Source organism: Homo sapiens, chromosome 12 (assembly GCF_000001405.40).
Source record: "Homo sapiens chromosome 12, GRCh38.p14 Primary Assembly".
NCBI lineage: Eukaryota > Metazoa > Chordata > Mammalia > Primates > Hominidae > Homo > Homo sapiens.
In genome coordinates, this window is record NC_000012.12 from 26029946 (window position 1) to 26053608 (window position 23663).

The window sequence follows — 23663 nt, forward strand, 5'->3', positions numbered from 1 at the left end:
GTTTTTATTACAGTCTTTGCTGGTTTGCTTATTTGTGCATCACTTTATTTAAAAAGAGTTTAGGGCAACTAATTTATTTTTTGTAAAAATAAATTTTGAAATAAAATGTGGCAAAAAGATAAAGTATCTTTCTCTTGGGATTTTGATTATGATACCGTATGTCTAAATTGTCTCAAAGTTGATTTCAGTTCATTTGTTTTCTAGTATATAATTGATAAACATTATAGTGACTTGTATTAATTACACTTAGTGATAAAATAATTCTTAGTAGGTTTTTTTCCCCCCATGATCCAAATAATGTTTTATTCAGGAGAAAATAAAAACTCATTTTATTCAAAAGCCTTGGTTTTTAAGTATTTTCTGTGACAGTGTAAATCTTCCTTCTTTCTCATGGTTTATAAGCCCAGGTAGAGGGGCTACAAGAAGCAGAAACAAATTCATTCCATGTAATTGTGCTTGTTTTCAATGAAAGTTCTGCAGGGCTCTGTAGGATGACTTTTTAAAACCACTTGTCCGGATAAGATGGATTCTATTCCTTTTATTCCGGTATTGGGTTTTTGTCTATCACACATGGAAATGTTTTTACAGCCTGTGATGCTCTGCAGTGCTGTTACTAATGCCATAGTAAAAATGCTGAGATGTTGCAGTGCAACAGAAATTCCCACTTAGAAATACATGTTAGTCAAGTGAATAATATTTAACTTCTTTCTTTTCAAACCAAATAGACATCCCCGAAGTTATCTTTTTTTTTTTTCCTAAACTTAGATTTTAGTAGATAAGCAGCCCAGATTAACTTCTGGAACAAAGTTAGGACTTAAAAAGTATTTCCTCACCCATACTGTACCAGACAAGTGCCTGGTTTTGGGGCTAGGTAAATAAATATTTTAGGCTTTGCAGGCAATATGGTCCCTGTTGTTACTACTCAACTTCATTGTAGCACATGAGCAGCCATAGACAGTACGTAAATGAATGAACCCGACTGTTTTCAATTCAACTTTATTTACAAACCAGGTAGCGGGCCATAACTTGCAGACCCCTTCAAGATGGTCAGGAACAGTGAGTTGAAGCAGTAGGAAATATGATATTTCTTCTTAAATATGTCTGCAGCTTTTACTGCTGCAGCTTTCAGTATAAATGAAGACTCTTTACAGTTACGTAATGCCTGAGACAACAATCAAATAAGCTTTATTTTACAACTAGTAACTTGGTGCCAAATTTAACTTGTAGACTCCCCCTGCCCCATTTTTTTTTGAGGTATTATGAGGGTTTGTGATACTCTGCCAGTACATTGGGTTAGATTTCTGGATTACTTTGATTTTGCCAATTGTCAAACCTTTAAAATTCCAACACCCCAAGATGCTAGATTGTTTCAGTATTTTTTTTTCTAAACACTGCCATTTAACTTGGATTCTCAAAGTATATTTTGGCTCATCGTTACACGTGAGACCCATCCATCCTCATCATGATGGTGTGAAATCAGTGTAGAGTTCTTGAACTCAATCAGCAGCCCTTTGTTAAGCTTCTGCCACAGGCCCAGTAGAGTTACTAACAGGATTTGAGCCCAACTGAGGGCAGGGTCAGATTTGGTGGCAGTGTGCCAGGTGGATCACAGAGAGGTGTAAGCAACTATAAAATTATAAGGACCTGAGATGATAAAGGTTTGGAACTATTGCTGTTGGCAGTAAGAATGGTAAGTAGTTGGTGGTCTGAGAGACTTAAAATAGAGGACTAGAAAATGCTTGCCTGCTTCTAAAGGCACTTGTTAGGTAGGGTCTGCGGGATCAGAGTGGGAATGGGAGAACTTGAGAAAAAGAGGGTTAATAGAGATTTCAATAGCAGCCACACATGTAAAACTACAGATATTTCCATCATTTTTGAAAATATTTCTTATTCAGAGTAATCTAAAAAATCTGAGGAGATGCTTCAATGGCTTAATCTGACCTATATGTTTTGCTTATAAATATGTTTCAAAATATCCTGTTTCTCATCATCATGTTAGTTACTTTGATGAAATACATGTTTTGGTTTACATTTATGTGCATGATGTCAGCAGCTTACAGTACATGAAGGAAACTTCCCATATCCCAGAAGTAGTGACTTAGGAGAACTATGGTCTTGAGATGCTTGGAAATTTTGTATCTGGAAAATTTACCAATCAGGGAATTTTCCATTGAGCTTGCTTTTTTGAAAAGGTCCTTCAGTTTGTAGCAGTTTGTTAGCCCAGTTTATCCTTTCTTGTGATGAGCTAGTCATTTTGCATTTTCACATATAAAACTTTGAAATGTCTTTTAAAAAGTTTATGGGAATATTGTGTATGTTATTGCTTCATTTTCCCCGAAAGGAAGTGGGAGAAATTTGAGTCATTAATATACATTAAAATTCTGTGTATGTTTTTCGTACTCATAGCAGGTTGTTCCAAATCATCTAGGTAACAAACTTTGGAATGTTGATAGAAAACAAACTTCTAGCACTGTTTGTATGGAGAAGTATTTCCCAAAGTCAAGTTCTAGGACTCTTGGGACTGTTTCATGGCTGAGTCAAAGGTTCCCTTGTGACATGTGAATTTTTAGGAAGGAGAACAATGACAAATTTTTTTGAAATTGCTACATTAGCATGCAACAAAAAATTCTGAGGGAAATGTTTCCTGGCAGTTTTTTTATTATATTTACCTGCAATTTATAGCTTAAGGGAGTTTTAACCCATGAAACCTCCAAATCTATTAAAAGTGAAAAGAGCTAGATAGATTTCATTAGCATGCGTAATGCCCAGTTTCCATACCCATCTATAATCATTTAAAGCAGGAATCATAATGGGAATATGAGCTGAGAAATTCTGTTGATGTTTGAAATGTCTGGAGTGTCAACATAATTAAACAGCGTATGTACACAATTGGCCCTGCTCCAAAACCAGTGATTATGTGTCTAACATCAATCCCCATGTGTCTACAAAGCTGTTAGAGTAAACATCTGGAATCTTTTACTACCAAAGCTAAAATATTACATAATCAGTTAAAAGAAAGAGCTTCCTACCCACAGAGGTCCTGCAGAGAGCAATGTATGCTGTGATCTTGTTTTCAAGCAGGCCTGTCTTCTTTAGAGTAGCAACTAAATATATTAGATACTTCAACTATCCTTGAAATGTGACTTTTCCCCTGAGGTAAATACTAAGGATGGTTTAAATGTTGCTAAATGGTTCAGCTGAATCATAAATACTCTGTAATGAGACCAGAGGGGATCAAGTTGATCAGTGGGAGACCACATTCTTACCAAAACTGAGGCTCAGCTCTCAGGCCATTTCAAGGTATGCTGGAGTTCCTTTGAGCAAAAGAATTTGGTATTTTCTCATGTATGTATTGAAGCACTAAGTAAAAATTGTGATCTTTCAGGTCATAACAGAAAACCCACAAATTGTTTTATAGCATGTTTTTGATTTCACAATATAAAATGACAAGAATAATGAGATCTTCCACATCTTTTTATATTTTTCCACTATATTTGTGTTAAAGCTTAGGTATTATTTTCATTCTTTCATGCTAAAAGCACATTAGCATTTTCTAGAATGTAAGTGGTTTTGCTAGAAAAATGATATTAATATGATTATCCAGATTGTTATTTTGGAGGGAAAAAGGAAATAAGTTCTGCAAACACTGTTGGGTTTCTTTTTTTTAATGATAGAGGCATAAGATGAATAGTATCCATCTTCATAGAAAGAAAGAAACGTAGAGCCAAGTATTGAAATTTTTTAATGGCATATTTCTTTGTGGAGGTGAAAACTGTTTCTTTGCATTTAATATGCACATCTGCCTTGTCCCTGTCAAGTTTGCCACCTTCCAGATAAAGGTTGAATGCCAGGACTCTCAAATCAGCCTCCACTCAGATCTCAGCTCCCATCTCCTACCAGTTGTATTGTCTCCAACTAGTTCACCTTTCTGAGCCTCCAGGGCCTCATTTGTAAAATGGGGATGAGAATAAAAACATGACCTCAGTGGATTATTCTGAGTCGTTGTATGTGCCTAGCAAAGAGGAAGCACTTGGATCTGCTGGTGCCTTCTCCCCACCACCATCATGTCGACCAGACCCCAGCAAGCTAGCAGGGAGGTGGTGGTGGAGTGGGGAGAAAGATGTTCCAAGCAGAGGAAGCAATACATGGCAGGGCAGGGAGATGTGGCTGCCTCACAAAGGTGGGGAGTAGTTGAAGAACGGGCTGGAGTGAGGTGGGCAAATGGTAAGCACGTGGCACACTGTTCAACTAAGATAATCACAGCATTAGCTGGGATTTGGGGGTGAAGGAGTAGGAGTGAGGGGAGATGTGTCAATGTCCCTAAGTCCACAGGGGCAGGACAAAATAGCCCTATGGTCTGTCTAGGACAGAGGTGTTCAATCTTTTGGCTTCCCTGGGCCACATTGGAAGAAGAATTGACTTGGGCAACACATAAAATACACTAACAATAGCAGATGAAGTAAAAAAAAAAAAAAAATCTCATGATGTTTTAAGAAAGATTATGCATTTATGTTGGGCCGCATTTAAAGCCATCTGGGCCGCATGCAGCCCGCAGGCCACATGTTGGACAAGCTTGATCTAGGATTTCTATCATTCCTACCACTTCCAAAATTAAACTCATTCTTTTCAGTGGGAATGACTAAGCAAATAATCTTAGGGGGGAGAAAAAGATCATTATTCTTTCTGACAGGCTAAGTAACTCCTATTCCTTTTCCTCCAGCATTTATTTCCCATATTTCGAAATTAAGGAACCTCCTACTTTTTACATCCTAGCTAGAATGCATGAGGGGAAATCAAACAAGGGTGGGATAAGATCCAAACACAGCAAAATTATTTATTACATCTTTTCCATGTAATGTGCCTATTAAAATTCATGATATTTAAGCTACATTAAAAAAAAACATCTAACTAAAAAACACCATACAGCAGATTCACCAAGTGTAGATGCATTCTCATTGGTTTGTTGTAGACTGCTTTTACCTTTCTAGGTACTGTTTGTCATAGCATTTGGTTTTTAATTTCTGTGTGAATTAGTCACTATGAACTATCCTATTTTTGGTATTATGGTGATTACTCTGGTGTTGCCCTATAAACTTTAATAGACGTTTTTCCAGTTGTCCAATACTACTGGTAAAAATTATTAATCCCTAGAAGTAAGGTTAGTTAATGAACTTCTCTTCTAGGCTGTACTAAGGCACTGACCCCTACTCTGTGGAAATGGCTTTCCAACCAGTTTTACTCTTGTATGATAAGTTGTAGGGTTTAGTGATAGCTAGTCCCTGTCTTCAAAGTTGGCTGAGAAGAATGCTACTTCGGCTAGAAACAGAAGAACTTCTTCACACAGTTAATATTTCTTTAAACAAAATGAAAGTGTTTATTGTAAGAGAAAAAATTTTAAGCCCAGAAAATACTGAAAAGATGAAATTATATAATCATATAATATAATTATATGAAATTATATAATTATATAAGTATATGAAATTATATAATTATATAATATAAGTATATGAAATTATATAATTATATTATATAATTATATAATTATATGAAATTATATAATTATATAATATAATTATATGAAATTATATATAAAAATTATATATAGTGTATATATTTTATATTATATATTGTATATATAATTTTATATTGTATACATAATTATATATATAATTTTATATAATTATATAATTTCACCTTTTCAGTATTTTCTGGGCTTAAAATTTTTTCTCTTACAATAAACACTTGTTTTTTTTTAAAGAAATGTTAACTGTGTGAAGTTCTTCCATTTCTAGCCCAAGTAGCATATAATACATATATCACTATATATCTGATATATATGATATACATCACTAGATATACAATATATGAAATTATATATAATATAATTTCATATAATTATGTATTATATAAAATATAATAAAATTATATATTATATATTATATATAATTATAATCATATATGATTTCATATATATGATATATATCATATATTTCATATATTTTTATATATTATATATTTATAATTTATATATATATAAAGCCATCCATGATTTCACTCCTCTGAGCATAAGGGCCCAAACTCAGTCTAAAGGGCAGATACCATGACAGCTTCTTCATTTTAGCTTTTTTCTTCAGCTCAAATCCATTCAAGAACAACCTAGTTTACTCCCAGTGATCACTCATTCATCTCTTTAATATTAATCTACATCTGGGCCTCTCTTGCTTAAATCCATGTTCCTCGCTAACTTCTGGATAAGATCAGCAATGGCAGAGACGCTCTGAATATTTTTTGTGAATCATATCTTTATAATTGGAGGGCACATCGGGGGAAACCAATGGCTTCTGTTTCTGTTTCGTTTTGTTTTGTTTCATCCATCCCTTCAAGAAAAAGAGAAGGCTTCTGTTTCTTGAACTGAAAAATTCTTACCAAGGAATAAATAGAAAAGCATTTAACAAAAATTTAAGCTATTCTTAAAATTTTGATACTTATTTCAATATTTATTATTTTTTAGAAAGTTATTTTTATATATGGGCCATTTGGAACAGTTTCATTTTTTAAATTTTAATGTAAGATGTCCTAATTTTTATTTTAAAAGAGCCAAGATGACTTTGAGACTAATATTTAATATTTAATATAGCCCAGAAGACTGGTAACTTGAATTTTTTAAAAAGTGTATGTCTGGTCGAGCGCAGTGGCTCACGCCTATAATCCCAACACTTTGGGAGGCTAAAGCAGGTGGATCACCTGAGGTCAGGAGTTCAAGACTAGCCTGGCCAACATGGTGAAACCCTGTCTCTACTAAAAAAATAAAAAATAAAAAAATAAAAAATTAGCCAGGCTTGGTGGCACACGCCCAGCTATTAGGGAAGCTGAGGCAGGAGAATCACTTGAACCCAGGAGGCAGAGGTTGAAGTGAGCCGAGATAACACCACTGCACTCCAGCCTGGGCGACAGAGCAAGACTCCATCACAAAAAAATAAAAAAAAAACAAAAAACTGTATGTGTATTACCCTAGGATAAAGTAGTATCTAAGTGATAGGAAGTTGGTGTTTTCCTTTTATATCTCAGAGTTTATCTAATTTTACTATTAACAGTATTGGTTGGTTGCCTAATAATTTGTTTGAAATCCCCTTCTTTTATTGTGTGAAAAAGTCTACCCAGGGACTATAAAAGCCGTAAAGATTAAATTCGGATAATTGCTTGACAGTGCTGTACCCAGGGCGGGGCAGTAGGAAGAGGCAGGGTGGGAAACAGTGTCTGTACAGAATTTGAAAACAATAAAATTAAGAGTCCTGAAAGCTGACCTTCCTTATCACCATGGTCCAGATATTTTAAGCAATATCAGTGATAAGATACTCTTTTGTCACCTCCGTGGATCTTTGTCACTGCCAAACACCACCCTCACTCCCTTTGGTACACTCTTTAAAAAGTAAACGCTATACAAATAAGTTTAAATTTTCTTACAAGGTATTTCATATAGTTTTTGTATTTTGTATACTTTTTAGGGCATATTTAGAAAGGGGGTAGAGTTTATAATTATTTTACTACCAAGATCCCATTTTATTATACTTTTACCAAAATCTTCATTCCATTTTTAAACATTTTATTACCAAATTGTGTTTAGTTAATAATATTTTTGTTTTTATTATTTGATGTTTATAACTAGCAATGAGATTGGCATAGAAACAACAAGCTTAGCACAGTGAATTCAGGTAGTTATTTTCACAAGCAAATATATTTCATTGCATGGATAGCCTTTATGTGGCTGGTGGGCCTTCATGACACTTTTGTTAGGAGGTGGGTGCTAAAGAGATACTTGTATGAGATGCAGGGGGAAGCTTCAGAGGAGTGGCTGTGTCCTGAAACCAAGAGCTTCCCCTAAAGGGTCACCACAGCAAGCTTGTTTTCTCAGTCAGAGACTAAAGGAAAATTGTGCCCTAGCCAGCTAGCCTGAGTGTGAAACAATTTAAAGGTGGAGAGAGGGAGAAAAGCAGGTATGTATTAACCAAGGCCAGCTCAATTCTGGGACTGGGCTGAGTGCCTGTGCTGTGTGTATTTGCACGGCATCCCCTCCTCTTTGGTGTGTTGTCTTTCTACCCTGTACACACCCCCATCACAGTCATATTGAGTTGGGATTATAAACTTCTGGAGTCAACACACAGGTTGCACGTGTTGTGTATGCTTTGGATGAACTAATGGCACTGTGATAAAATAGTTTGCTCTCAGACCCTACTGTTTTGTACTTTTATTCTTAGAGTGAAGCTTTGTTTCATGATCACGGTCTCAGAGAACCTCAGTCCCTTTGGAAATAGAACTGACTAGATGAAATACAATGAAGACCACAAAAATAAGCTAAAAACTGTAGTTTTGACTGTTTCCTTGAAAGTATTTTGCATTTTCATTTATGAGCACCGTAGATCCTGCAAATGTACTTGTGTGTTTTTATACTTTGTGTTTAGAACCTCAGCTTCTGAGGCATACTGGAAAGGCCAAAACTACAAAACTAGATATTTGGCTTTTAAATGTATCTTCAGCATACATATTCGTCACTGTTACCCAGGGCACATTTGAAAAACTCCAAAAACCTTGTATAACCTACTCTTTAATTCCCAAGATTAATTTGGGAAAATAAATGCTTTGTTTTTTAAAATGTTCTTATTAAAACACACACACACACACACACACACACACACACACACACACACACACACTTTTAAAAGGGAACATATTTAATTTGCTTGGTTTCCAACAGATATAAGTAGTGCTCAGTGAAGCCCTAGCTCCCAGTGCACAAAACTAGGACATTGTTTTTGTTGGTTTTATTTAATTTGACTTTAGTGTCCTCACAATGAATTTTATTGCCCTGATAAATTACTCCTTTGTTTTCAAAGACAAATCCTTCCTATCATTCAGGTCTGTGTCAGTCTTTTCTACTTAGAGCTTTGTGGTACATGCACAGATATTTATTCTTTCTACATAAGTGTAGGACTTTTTCCCTTATTTTTCTAGAAAATGTTTATATTTCTAAAGTTTGCTTTTGAATTCTTTTTTTAAAAAGCTATTTTAATTGTTTCACAGTGTGAAGCATTAGAATCACAGAACTGTAAGGAACATCATGGATGTTCCTTGTGATTGGGAAAGGAATGATCCACGGCAGTGAGTTTCATTGGGGATCCTACTCCTATGAAATTTGGCATACTGCTCAGGTCAGGTTCAGAAGGTGAATTCTTAAGGTAACTTTCACAGCATTGCCAGAAGAATTAGCTTTTGCTAAGTAGATACGACAGTCTTCATTCTGTTTTTTTCTTAGGCAGGTGGAACGTGATCTCTCTGTCTGCTGCTCATAGTTCCCTTGTGAGACTGGGGGGGATAATAGCAGGTCCAGGTGGGCAGAGTTCTGATTTCAGTGGTAGACTCCTATTGAGGCTGGGTGTTAGAGGGTGGAGGGCTTGGGACTTGAGTTCTTTATTCAGTTCTTGTAACTTAACTCTTGAGTAGATCAGTTAATCTTAGCTGTTTGCTGTTTTGGTGGGGGCGGGGGTCGGTGTTGCAAAATGATAGTGTTAAATGCCTTGCCTAACTTTGTAAGTTATCTAAGACTTATCAACACTATTTGAATTTTTCAGAGAAAAAAAACCCAGAAGGTGTTATCTCAGAGTTGTAATTAACCTGTTGCCTATTGCATAAACTTCGTGGTACATTAACAGTACCAGTAGTTGGTGATTCCCATGTCGTCTTCCATTGATTTTTCTAATAATATGAATTTTCATTCAATGTTTTTGCCATGTTTCTTCTGAAAGAATCACCCTGTGACCTGGGAGTTGAGGCGAAAACTTTTGCTTTTACTTGTTATTTACTTTTTGAGTGGATCTGTTTAAATAAAAGGTATAACTAATGGCTTAATGTAAAGAAATTAATTGATTTGCCTGGATTTAATGAATAAATAACTTTAGACAGAGAAATAATGTTTGTCTTTTTTGTCTTTTCTACATAATCATGTATGTTACTGAATGTCTGACCCTGGTAATACTGTAATTAACATAGAGCTTATGAATCATATCATGTATTTAAAATTAAATTATGACTTCATTTTCTTGACTTTGATTAATCTCTCAGCGCCATTTATTTGAGCATTAAGATTCACTTAAACTGTGGTTCTTTTGTTTTATTTTTAATAATCTTTTTTTGCCTTTTTAATGGTTGAATCATAACTTTAAATATATTAGTATTATTGACTTTTAAAAAAGAAATTAGGAAATTGTTTATCTCCTTAACATAAGATTTTTAGTGTGATAGCTAAACGCAAATAATTGGCTCCTTGGGTTGGAACCAGAAAATTTCCCAACTTCATTCCCTTATCATTCTGCCACTAGTAAGTAAATTTTGAGCAGTGGAAAGACTTCCAAAGTGGGCTAATATCAGTGAGGTAGGACATGCGGTGAAGGTTACTGGGGGGTAATAGTGGCCGAGGGGAGTGGTGAAGTGGCATCTTACCCGGAGGAGGAAAAGTATTTTGTTCTAAAGTTTGGAAGAGGCAGGAAAGGGTAGGAAATGTTTTTTCTGACGGGCTTGTGCCACAAAGTTTGAGAACCAGGTCAGTAGAACCTGCAGCTCCTGCTAGTGCTTCAGTTGAATAGTTACAGATAGATACCTCTTGACTCTGAAAACATCTGTCCCATGCCACACTGCTGACATCTTTCCTAACACCCCACTTTACCTGGCCTCCTCAGTGGTAACTTACTTAGTCCTTGAATCCTTGCTTCCCATTTTAATAGCAAGGTAACTGCTGACCCTTTCTTGAACTGTGGCTTTTTCCTGTTTTCTGGGCATTGAATATATTCATATAGGACTAACATGAATATTTGAGTTCAGTTTGTTAGACTATGATTTTTGCGTAGTTTATTCTTATTTTTTGTTAGTATTCTTATACTAACAATTATACATAGTTTTTTTTTTTTTTGAGACAGAGTCTTGCTCTGTCTCCCAGGCTGGAGAGCAGTGGCGTGATCTCAGCTCACTGCAAGCGCTGCCTCCCAGGTTCACGCCATTCTCCTGCCTCAGCCTCCCGAGTAATTGGGACTACGGGTGCCCGCCACCGCGCCTGGTTAATTTTTTTTTTTGTATTTTTAGTAGAGACGGGGTTTCACCTTGTTAGCCAGGATGGTCTCGATCTCCTGACCTCATGATCCTCCCACCTCAGCCTCCCAAAGTGCGGGGATTACAGGCGTGAGCCACCGTGCCTGGCCAGTATACATAGTATTCTTAATAGTTTATTTAATCTGTCCTTTCTGCTGAATATGTTGTTATCTATCATGTTGAAACACAAGCTGAGTTTTTGAGGATTTCTTATGTTTTAATATATACAGCTTTTAGAGATTTTCATTCTTTCTTAGAGGTCTGTACTATTTTGCTTCTTCAGGAGCTCAGTTGGATTAATATTATTTCCAATTTGTAGAATTTTAGGTAATCAGAAATGCATGAATCTCCTTGGCTTTGACACTGAGTGATTGTATAACTTGAACAGTTTATCAACTGGATAATACAGTTAATTTAATGAGTATGTACTATGTTCACAAGACTAGGAATTGTAAAGAAGTGGGGAAAACTCTGATTTCTAGCTTAAGTGATACCTAAAGAAGCAGAGTGGGGGGGTGTACACACCCATATATATCTACATACATAAATATATATATATACACACACATACACATATATCTACATACATAAACATATATATATACACACATAGTAAAATACTAAATTCCAAGCCTAGATCAGTCTTAAAATGGAAACATAGGACAATATGACACGAATTTGTATAATAATGCTAAGGAGATGCCATTTAAAGTATAAAGTATACTTAAATGAGTTTTATAGCTTTATGTCACATCTCTGATAATTTGATATATTGTACCTGTCTTAGTTTTAGATGCAAATTTCAAATTTTGCTGGATAGCTCTACAGAAATATGTATTGTCCTTACAAATTCAAAATACCCAAAACCTAACAATTGTTTTATTTATGGCAGAATCATACTGAGAGGATGAATTGCTGATGATTGTAAATGTTTTGGACTTTTCAATCTGAATTTAAAAATGAAACGAGGTATATATTTGTTTAATATAATTCTTTTCTGAAATATAGTTATAAATCAGAAAGGTTTGGTTTATTATTTATCCAGTTAAAGGGGAGAGCATGGCAATTTAAGGATTTGTCAACTGAGAAAATAACACATTTGAAGGAAGGGTTAGAAAAAGAGCACCTGCTGTGTTGTGTTCACTCTGTATATTCCCAAGCCTAGGAGTGGGAGATAATGTTAATCACAGCCTATTCAGGCCTATCTATGGGTCTGGGTTGTTTTGTTTTATTTTGTTTTGTTTTGTTTTTTTCCATAATCTAAGACAAGTTATTCAGATAGATAATTTATAAACCAGAATCTGAAAATGGCTTGAAAAGTCTGCATTGTTTACTTTATGAATTCCTTCGTTTTGGTTTTGTTAGATTCCTTACATTCTTTTTATTAAAACCTGAGTTTGTAGGGTGGAGCATGTCTTCTTTCCTGATGAGATTCAGTCTATTTTGATTAACTTGTTTTTAGGGAGTAAAAGGCTTTGCTTAAGTGATAAGGTGTTAAGAAATGTGTCAGGATAATTTTATACTGTGCTGATTTTTTTTTCATTTCTAAGCTACATTAGATATTTTCTTTGCAATTTTCTGCCTCTTTTATAAGTATGATTTACTTGAGCATTTGCTGTCCCTGAGCATTTTTAAAATATTTATAAATTATTTCAATTAATTGTTTTATGAAACCACAAATTGTAGGTTAGAACAATAGCATTTTTTCTTGAGATAGTGTGTTGGGATATATTTAAGGGTTTTACAGTGTGATATCATATTCACAGTAGCATCAATTAGTGGTAAGATTTATTTCAGGAGTTTAAATCAATACTGCAGGGCTTTTCTGCAGTACTGCTTAAAATACTCGAATGCCAATTTTATTGCCTCTGGGATCACACTGACATTTTCTCATTAGTATTGTGCCCATTCCCCCCCTAGTTAAGCATAAACTCTGTTTGTTTCCGTCCTGTACAATTAGTGCCTATATTATTCGACAAACACACATGGTTCACCCATTCTGTGCCAGCCACTATGCTGAGGGGTTCCAGAGGTAATAGGACAATCAGAGGAGTAGCCAGATAACCACTTTGATATGAAACAAAACTACCTAATGCTTTGAAAGCACAGGGAGAGTGGCCACCTCCACACCAAAAAACTGGGGAAAGCTGCCTGTTGAAGGATGTGCAAAAATTAGCAGAGAAGAATGCAAAGCATTTACCAAGGAAGGAGAGCAGCATATGCAGCTCAGAGATGCTTGGGAGAGTGATAGATTGAGAGAACAGAAATGTCTTGGCATAAGGGTAGAGGGGAACTGGGAGAGTTGCAAGATGATTAAGGGGTAGCACATCAGTAACCTGCGCAGAGTTTGGATTTTATCCTGAAGGCAGTGGAGAGCCGTTGGAGGATTCTGACCAGGGGAATGGAATCCAGTTTTATTTGAAAAACATTTACCTCTAGCAGTAATCTGCAAAGTGGATGTGCAAGGAGGGAGACAGGATGGGAAGGCAGGGAGATCAGTTAGCAGGCAATTGCAGCATGCAGCAGTTTTGTTCCTAAGTACAAGTGCTCAAAGCAGCGTTATTTGTAATAGACAAAAAACTGGAAATCCAATTGCCTATCAGCAGTAGAATAGATGAATAAATTGTGGTTTGTTTATTCAATGGAAATCTCTACTGCAGAGAGAAAGAATGGACGATTGCTATGCACGGCAACGCAGATGAAACTCAGCAAACATAATGTAACGCCAAAGAAACCAGACAACATTACATATGATGCAGTCCGTTTATAGAGTCCAAAAACAGGCAAAACTAGTCTGTGATGATAAAGATCATAATAATAGTTGCCTTTGAGGGAGGGTGTTGGGACTAGGAGAGGGGCTTTTCTTGATCTTCGAGGTGATTAGACGAGTGTGTTCACTTTGTGAAAATTCATAACTTAAGATTTCTGAATTTTTCTGTATGTTATACTGCAATTAAAATGTTTCTTTAAAAACCTAGTTATCTCAACTGCTAGGCATGAACACTGTCCCAATACTATTCCCAGTCCTCTTCTATCTAAATAGTCACTATTGCCATGCTGCTACTTCCTCCCACTTTGCAGCTCACTAAGGCAGGCTGGAGATTTTTGTGACTGCTGGAGTGATTTTTGCCAGTTTGCTTAACCCATTTCATTCCATGAGTTTCCTGGCAGAGATTCCACAAGCAATCTCTGCCAGGATGACTGCTTGTAGCAGTGCTTGAGTTTTGGTTTTTACTGTGAAATTGTAGGACTTAAATATAAACACATAGTGGAAGTCAGATATATTAATGAAATGCAAATATATTTATGTAAGCATAGCAAAAACTAGGGTTTTTCCCTCCTTAAGCATGAAGTTTATTTTGGAAAGTATGTTAGAATTTTATACAGTTAATTGATTCAGTAGCTGTACCCTACAGTTGAGCTGTTTATATTATCAATGTACTGTAGGTTAGGTTGTATAGCTCATTCATTCTGACTGCTGATGACTATGTCACATTCATCTACACCTGGTGATGTACTTTCAATAAAGGACAGAGACCAGGCCTAAGCTCAATTCTATATGTAGAATACTGTAAAATAGAGTACCACTTTAATCAGTATCACTGAAATTTACAATAAATATCAGGTATTTTGCCCTGGAATTTCACAATGCACATCTTAAACTTAGTATCTGTCTTCTCCAGTAGTATGAAACACTCATTAAACAGTATAGCGCCTCCTGGATTATTTAAAGCCCAAAACTTTCCCAATTAATTGCAGAGCAGCACACAGTATCTCTTTAAAGAGAATGACAACTATAGAGAGTATGAAGAATAAAGTATAGCTGTTTGGAACAAAAGCATTATTTGTTTTATTACAGTGAATAATGAGCCTCTCTTCAAATTTGGCTACACTGAAAGATACCTGTTACTTTGAAATATCACCAAAGGATGTACCTATTTTTGCATTTCATCTAGGGACTTAATTATTTAATTGGCTTAGATTTTCTTCAGAAAACAAATAGAACAATCAAAATTATTCTTAACCCTTAGAGATTAGGAAAAAACTAACTGCCTTTTCAAATTGTTTGAATGGACACTTTTTTTGTTCTCTATGAACTGAAATAGCCTTAATTTAACAAAGACTCATAGGGATCATGCATGATTGGTTTTACCAAATATTATTTTTGGCTTCCATATCCTTAAAGCATTTAATATTTTATCAACTGAATAAGTATAGTAAAGAAATTTTAAGAAACATTAAAGTTTTCTGCTTTGCCTGCTGTGCTCATTAAATTTTAACATTGAAGTCCAATAGAAGTTTTGTAGTCTAGCAGCCACTCTGACTCATGAGTCAGGGGCTCAAATTTTCCTTAATCTTACATATTTGTTTTATTACCGTTTCCTCACAAAATTATTTTATTTTGTCTTTGAAGTATTTCCATACCAACTTAGCTTTAAAAATGTATACCTGCAAAGGAATATGCTTTGATATGTGACATTTGGCTCTTTGAAGCCACCACTGTAGTCCTCACAATGGACAATGTTTTGTTGAAAAGTTTTCACATTTACTTTATTGTAACTATAGAAATGTTCTTGTTTGTCAGGATTTATGGGCTCAATATTTACAATACCATAAATGAGAAGTCCATAGTCATCTTGGTTTCATGGATAAAAAATAAATGTCTTTTTATCCCCTATTAAGTAGAATGGTGGATTTCATTGCAAAATGTTAAATATTAAATATGTAAATAATTCAAGTAGTTTGATTTTTAAATATTAAATTAAGGAATTAGATTCATTATACCTGAATGGTGACTGGAAGGTAACGAACTTAATTTGCCATCTCTTACGTAGACAAAAAGTCCCTAATCAGGTGGCCCATACCTATTCAGGTGTGCAGAAGAAAAGTGATTCTATTTTTGGCAGACAGATTTTAATGGAAAGGACATAGATTTGGGCGATCAGATAACATCTGGATTCAGACTGGAGCTCTATTCCTGCTTTACTGAGATGAGAGAGACTGGAAGGAGCAGTTTTCACCAGGAACCTCAGGGGTTGTATATTCCTAAGTCTGATTTGAACACCACCTCTTTCTTCTCCTTATTTCTGTGGCAACAATTGACTAAATTTATATCATTTGGTTTAGTAGTGTTGGAAATTATAATTCCCATGGTCACATTTACTTGATTACTTTCTCTCCTAAGCCAGAATTAGTGATTACAAATGTCCTTGCAAACTTTGCTAATAACTTTATTTCATGAATAGAAGTAACTGTGTCACTAGTGGTTCTGAGTGTTAGATTTGCATCTGCCACTTACTGGGTGGGTAACCCTGAGTAAGTTACTGATTCTCTATGCCTGCATTTCCTCTTTTGTTTAATAATTCATGTCACATAGAGCAACAGATGAGTATTAAAAGGATTAAATATCTGTTCTGCCTTGGTGACAGCCAAAAAGATTTAAAAAATTTTTTAAAGGATTAAATAAAAGGGTGCCTGGGCACAGTGGCTCAGGGCTATAATCCCAGCACTTTGGGAGATCGAGGTAGGAGAATCACTTGAGACCAGAAGTTCAAGACCAGCTGGGCAACATAAGGAGACCCCATCTCTTTAAAAAAAAATAGTATTTATATAAAACAGTCAACATTGCGTCTTTCACATAGTAAGAATTCTTGTTGCTAGATTCAGTAAAAGCAAGGTGTTACCATTTGGCTAGTTAGTTTTCAATGAAGGTACCAATGTGTACCTGCTTAAGGAGAAATATCACAGATATAGTTATACTTAAATCTACCTTAAAATATCACCAAGTTTTCACTAATTTTGTTTTTCCATAGGAGTGTATTATACTCACTGTCAGTTTTCTCATGATTTGTGAAAGAAAGCCATGAAATAGCACATGTAGTAGAAAGCATAATTTAATTGATGGCAGAGTTCAGGGATTTTCACATGAAGACTTTGAGAGTGTGGTCTCTAATCCCAGTTCTGAGAGCTTTAACGGGAGTTAAACCATCATAGAACTTGGCACTGCACACATGCCTCAGATCATCTCTGGAGGGTTGCAAAGTAGTCTGGGAACCTAACAGAAAGTATAATTGCAAAACAGATGGCTTTTTATGTTCCTTTTTATAATACTGCAGCAAGAAATGGAGCCCAATGGTATATTATTTTTATATTTCTTATTTATGAGATTTTGTGCCAGGAAGGTCAAATTGTAAGGTCCCATATTGTTCCACCTTCCATAAACATTTAAGAAAATTAGCAAGAACAGACCACACACAGTTTTTTCTTGCTAATGTTCTTATATCAATAATAACTCATTTTATGATCTCTTTTAACTAGAATTCTTGAGAGGGGCAACTCCCTCAACATCTTCTGTACTGGGCCCTTTAATATATGTAAAACTTAATCATTTAATTTCAGTTTTCTGAATAATCTAAAGTAGTTTTGTGCAAAGACTGGCTCTGCCGTCACCTGTGCATGGGACCTTGATCCTGTGTATAACCTGGCCAGGCCTCAGCCTTCTATGTTCAGTGAAATGACTGTACTAGTTGATGACCAGTGGGCTGCCAGCTATGAAAGGCGAGACATATTAATGCTTTGAATGAAACTATGTCGACTTAGCTGGTAACTACCGTCTCTAGCAGCAGAGAGGCCTGGACAAAAGAGCACCAGCAGGAGATCCACCTGCCTGGGTCCCTTCAGGGCTGCCCTGCCATCAGGGGTCAGATTGTAGGCATGGCTTCAAAGACAGCCACACTGTGAAAGTTTAAGAGTTTGTAGTACTTACTGACCCTGGGGGGTACACAGCACGCCTGGAGGCCACATGTAGGTAGGTCAGGTTGCAAGCAGGTAGAGAGAAAGGGAGCTGGCAAGTAGCATTCTATTTTGGGTAATGAAATGTGAGTCACAGGCAGATGCCGTAAGGGTCCATTTAAAGGAAGCGGCTAGAAAGCAGGAAGCCCAGTCCATGAGGCAGGAGAGATACCTCCAAGTTTTTATTCCTGGCCACTGGCTGGAACCATTTGGGTAGGCTGTAGTACTGGAAACTATGTCAAGGGCAATTGAGCCGGGTTGACTTATATTTAAAAATGGATGCTGAGGCAGCATAAAATTAAAAGCACTCACTGTGCACTGTGCTGATCCATTTGGTTTCCGGGAACTCTGAAATGCATAACCTTTTACATGCCTGGAGAAAGTACCATCATTCACCCATCCCTGACATCTCTAGGTATGAGAAGCTGACAGCTTCTTTAGAGCCTTCACCAGGTAGAACCAAATGTATTTTTGAGTGTTGCTGGTAGGCTTATGACTTGGGAAGAAGAATATAGCAAGGCTGGAGTGGTAGAGAGGAGGGGGAAAAAAAGAAAAGAAAGATGCATATGCTGAGAATAATGGCATTTGTGTGGAATGGTGGATTCCAGTTAGAGGTGACTCAGGGCTACTAGTACTGGAGAGATTGGGCCCATCAGGAATTGTCTTGTAATGAGGGCTACAGGGCCATTGGAAGCCCTGACCAAGACTGAATTGTACATTTCTGTGTGTTGCTCTCCATTCATTCCTTTGCACTATTTTCATTTTTCATACCTCCCAAGTGGCTATTTTTTCATGCCACTCATGGCTCTCTCTAGCCTCTCTGTGCCTTCTTCCTCTCTCACCTTTTTGTTTTTGTTTTGTTTTTTGTTTGTTTGTTTTGTTTTGTTTTGTTTTTTTCAGACGGAGTTTCACTCTTGTCGCCCAGGCTGGAGTGCAATGGTGCATTCTTGGCTCACCGCAACCTCCACCTCTCATGTTAAAGCGATTCTCCTGCCTCAGCCTCCCTAGTAGCTGGGATTACAGGTGCCCACCACCATACCCAGCTAATTTTTTTTTGTATTTTTAGTAGAGACGGGGTTTCACCATATTGGCCAGGCCGGTCTCGAACTCCTGACCTCAGGTGATCCGCCTACCTTGGCCTCCCAAAGTGCTGGGATTACAGGCGTGAACCACTGTGCCCAGCCCTCCTTCATCTTTTTTAAGGTATGGTGTTCTGGGCTTAAAATCCCAAGCTAAATACTTGCCTTGTAAGTGCACTTCTGTCAGATAGATGTCACAGAAGAATTCAGTCTAATAAGCATGTTCTTGTGTTTCCATGGGGTATTAGAATGATTTTACAAAACATAACTTGGAAGGGATGGGAAGAAATGACTTTTTAGTGGTGTTGGCTAGTAAATTAGATTAGTAAGAGGAATTATTCTGAAGCTGGGCTAATTTTTGAGATGAGCCTTTGATTATTGAAAACATATCTCTTAGTTTTCTAAAACAGGTAATTTTACATAAAGATTTTGTTTTTCCTTGAATTACAATTACTACATAAAAATCTTACATTTCCACTGTGAACTTTAATTGACTGGCAAAAATTAACCCAAATTGTTAATTTAGAAATAAGTGCCATCCTTCAGTTATTCTGCAGCATATTGTACTCCCAAAAGATTTCCAATGCTGTTTTATGCACCGTTGATTAACCCTGCTGGGTATGAGAGAAGTCTCTACTTCAAAGTCATAGAGCTTTAACATTGTATATGGTCGAAAAAATATAATTGTCAGTAAGCTATCTGGAGCTGGGCTTTTAATAAGAAACTCAACTGAGTGCCCTTGTAGCACTCAGTGTAAATTTGATGCTCAATGAAAAACTAAAGTTACTAGTTATATTCATTTGAAAAGTTTATCCTAAGGAAAAGACGGAATTCTTTTTTTTGTTTTTTGAGACGGAGTCTCGCTCTGTCACCCAGGCTGGAGTGCAATAGTGTGATATCTGCTCACTGCAAGCTCCGCCTCCCAGGTTCACACCATTCTCCTGGCCTCAGCCTCCCAAGTAGCTGGGACTACAGGTGCCCGCCACCACGCCCGGCTAATTTTTTGTATTTTTAGTAGAGACAGGGTTTCGTGTGTTAGTCAGGATGGTCTTGATCTCCAGACCTCGTGATCTGCCCGCCTCGGCCTCCCAAAGTGCTGGAATTACAGGCGTGAGCCACCACGCCCAGCCAAAGACATAATTCTTAATAGAAGGATCAGTATTCTCATACCAATAACTTTAACTTGATTCATAGCATGTTTTATACTAGATGTGACTGAAATTTTAAAATATGAATTACAATTTCTAATATCTGCTTACAATTTTTGAATGTGCTGCTGCTCTAGGTATGTGGATTAGTAACCTAAAATGTCTTTATTTTCAGATGCTCTTATTAGTATAAATGTTTCTGAAAATTTGCATTGCTATTGATTTGTCCTTCCATAAAAAAGAAGTTTATACTTTTTAAGTTAGAACTTTCACTTCTGTCCCAGACCTAACTCTTGAATTCAAACTGTGTGCCGAGCCCTGTACTAGATAAGGTACAATTTGAAAAGACATTATTTCATGCCATTTCTTACAAATGCTGCTTGGAAAAATATGCGTCTTGACTCAAATCACACAAGAGGTAGTAGACTCGGGATTTGAACCTTGGTGCATCTTGTTTCCACTAATCAACATTGTCTCAAACAAAATGACTTATTCCAGAAAGTATATTTTAATAGTGTGAATTTAAAGAAAATGCAGAAAATCTCCAAGAAATTTTGCTTTGTATTTAAGACAGGAGTTAAAATTAATGTGTATGTTCAGACATATTTTATTTAGGATTCTGTAGAAATAAAGCTGGATGTGATTTTCCAAAACTGAAGGAATAATTCATTGATGCTGAAAAAGGAACCTGAGCATCAGATGCTCATTTTGCTGGCATGTGTTTTTCATAGATTCTTTGAATTAATTAATTCTTTGCAGTTTCTTAGCATGATTTAGCACCTCTTTTCTTTGTTTTGAAATGGCAAGTTTGTATATATTATCTGATCGTTGTTTATTGACAAAAACCAGTTTCCAGGTGATTAAAGATAAGATTTCTTAGGGTGGTTTAGGACATTTTAAAAAAACATTTATTGGGTACAGTGAATCCTTTTGGGAACCCTAGCCTTATTTATTCTTTAGTTTCTGTATTCAGCCAAATTTCAAATATGTGTCCCAAATTACTAGATTTTTTTGACACTGGAAAAGTTATTTAAACTCTCCGAGACTCACTTTTCTCATATTGAAATGAGACTAATCATATCTAACTTGATGAATTATGTTGTGAGGAATAAATGAAACATGGTGCATGGTGCCTAACATGTAATAAGTACTTGTGCCATTTATTTCCACAATTGCCAAATACTTAAGTGTGTAATATTTGAGAGTGTTAAATCACTGGGCATGTGTGAATGCTGGCACCTGAAGGTAATGAATAGTAGAAGAAAGAGCATGAGCTTATTCAATTTAATAATGAATATTCCTGTTAGTTTTTGGGGAGTTTCTGGTCACAACATTTTTAGAACCCATCAATACATAACCTTGCTTTATGTGTTTTTTTCTGTTTAAAGATAACTTATTTAATAAACATTAAATATAAACATTTATATTTAATATGCAATAAGTATAAATATTGGCAGACCAAAATTTACCCAAATCGTTAATTCAGAAATAAGTGCTATTCTTTAGTTATTCTACAAAATATTGTACTCCCAAAAGATTTCCGGTACTGTTTTATGCACTGCTGATTAAAACCTCTGGGTATGAGAGAAGTCTCTATTTCAAAGTCACAGACAGAGCTTTAACATTGCATATGGTTGAGAAAAATATAATTGTCAATAAACTATCTGGAGGTGGGCTTTGAATAAGAAACTCAACTGAGTGCTTACTGATTCATTAACGTTGAACCCACACCCAACAGCACTATAACTCATGCCTAAACAAAGTTTACATAATATATATGTTTTCCCCATGGGTCACCTCACAGCCTTCTTGCCTCAGAAACCCTGGACACCACTTCAGCACTATGCTTGGGGGCCATTTTAAATGGTGAAATCCCACCAACAAAACTCACAAAAAACATGGCACCAAGTAGACTGAGAAAGGACACATGTTGACAGTATGAGAGCTGAAACACAAAGGCAATGTCACCTTGTTCAGTCTCAGCTGGGAGCGTGTGTGTCAGCTAAAAACTTTCACACCCTGTGCGTATCCACAAATAACCCTGAAAGCACCACAAATAGTGATTTTTGGGATTACAAACAAATTTTTAGCAACTAGGTAGGTTTCACAAATATGGAATCTGCAAATAATGAAGATTGGCTGTAATTCCTTTAAGAAAGCATTGATCTTGAGGTAATATGTTTCCACAAATGCAAATGCTCAATTCCAGGAGGATATTATGACAATAAATGGTTCTTAGCTAAAGAATACTTGTTCCCTGGTAGCATGTTAGTGAATAAGCCTAGTGCTTCATTGTAAAAACTATTAAAATAATAGTGATTTGCATCTGGAAACCTCATAATGAAGACAATAACTGAACTATATTAAAACCTTTGCAGTAGAGCCTTCTATCTGCATCACTGTTTCCATGGAAAAATATATTCCAAATTCCAATTGGAGTGTCCTTTTGCTTCCTAGGTCTTTAGTCTGAACGATGACCAATCCACCACACGCACCTACAGTGTAGGTCTTCCATTTTACTCTCTAGTCTGGTTCTGGGGCTGGGCATAGAACTGTTGGAGTTGATATAAAGATCAGGGTTACAGCTCCTAGAGTGGAGTATTTTGGGCTGAGACGATGGGGTTTTCCAGATATTGGATCATGTCATCTGCAAAGAAAGACAACTTGACTTCCTCTCCTCCCATTTGACTACACTTTATTTCTTTCTCTTGCCTGATTGCCCTGGCCTGAATTTCCAATACTATGTTGAATTAATGACTCAATATATGACTAAAAGTTCAAAGTGAAACAATGATAATTCAGATAGGAAAATATGTGGCAGTATGCTAAAGTCTAAAAAGGAATATAAAACGTCTGTGAGATACCTAACATCAGATTTATAGAAACAGAATAGAATGTAGGTTGTTGGGGGCTGCGGACAGGGCGAAATGGGCAGTTGCTTGTAGAAGGGGTATAAAGTTTCAGTTACACAATTATGAGTAAGTTCTAGAGATCTGCTGTCCAACATGATGCCTGTAGTTAATAATACTGTATCATGTACTTAAAAATGTGTTAAATGGATAGATCTTATGTTTTCTTCCACAATTGAAAAAAAAAAAAGTCCTATAGAATCATTTGAAATGATGGGTTTCTTGGTGGCAGGGGGGCTTTAATGAGATCTGTACCCTTTCTTGCTTGATTTCCCAAGTTTAAGATATTTTAATGAATAAGAAGGCACTTTAAATAGACTTTAATCCAGCTTTTACAAAAATTTAATAAAGCAATATATTAATCTTAGGCCATTTTTGATACCTTAATTTTATCCCAAGAAAGAATAAAACATATTCTATTTTTAGTAAGTAGAGTGCCTCGCAGAAGAGGAAACAAGTCAGAACTTTTCTGTTTTCTTAAATGTTCTCTAGATTGGGCAGCATATAAAACTCTCCTTTGAAATTTAGAGTGCACACCAGCCTATTAAAGTCTCAGAGAAGTCTAGCTGTAAAGGAACTTGTTTAACTTTATTTACTGG

General features: G+C 36.1%; 1 protein-coding gene across 23 annotated transcripts in view, besides 1 other annotated feature; it reads left to right on the forward strand.

Moving 5' to 3' along the window:
- RASSF8 (Ras association domain family member 8) overlaps window positions 1-23663 on the forward strand; it is a 121658-nt gene that overhangs the window by 71714 nt on the left and 26281 nt on the right. For 2 of the 23 annotated variants that reach the window (XM_047428190.1, XM_047428186.1), the window contains exon 1: window positions 8956-12105. The exons of 14 other annotated variants lie outside the window; for them this stretch is intronic. The gene's annotated coding sequence lies outside the window, so the exon portion shown is untranslated. Of the gene's footprint in view, window positions 1-5154; window positions 5159-8955; window positions 12106-22618; window positions 23052-23663 lie in introns of those variants that run through there. 7 more of the 23 variants (NM_001394101.1, NM_001394102.1, NM_001164746.2 and 4 more) reach the window with 4 other exon arrangements.
- Window positions 17498-18097: an enhancer, noted in NCBI's record as "OCT4-NANOG hESC enhancer chr12:26200376-26200975 (GRCh37/hg19 assembly coordinates)". NCBI's record gives its function as "activates a minimal SCP1, AML or CMV promoter by ChIP-STARR-seq in naive H9 embryonic stem cells {active_cell/tissue: H9 hESC(naive)}" and the evidence as "EXISTENCE:reporter gene assay evidence [ECO:0000049][PMID:30033119]".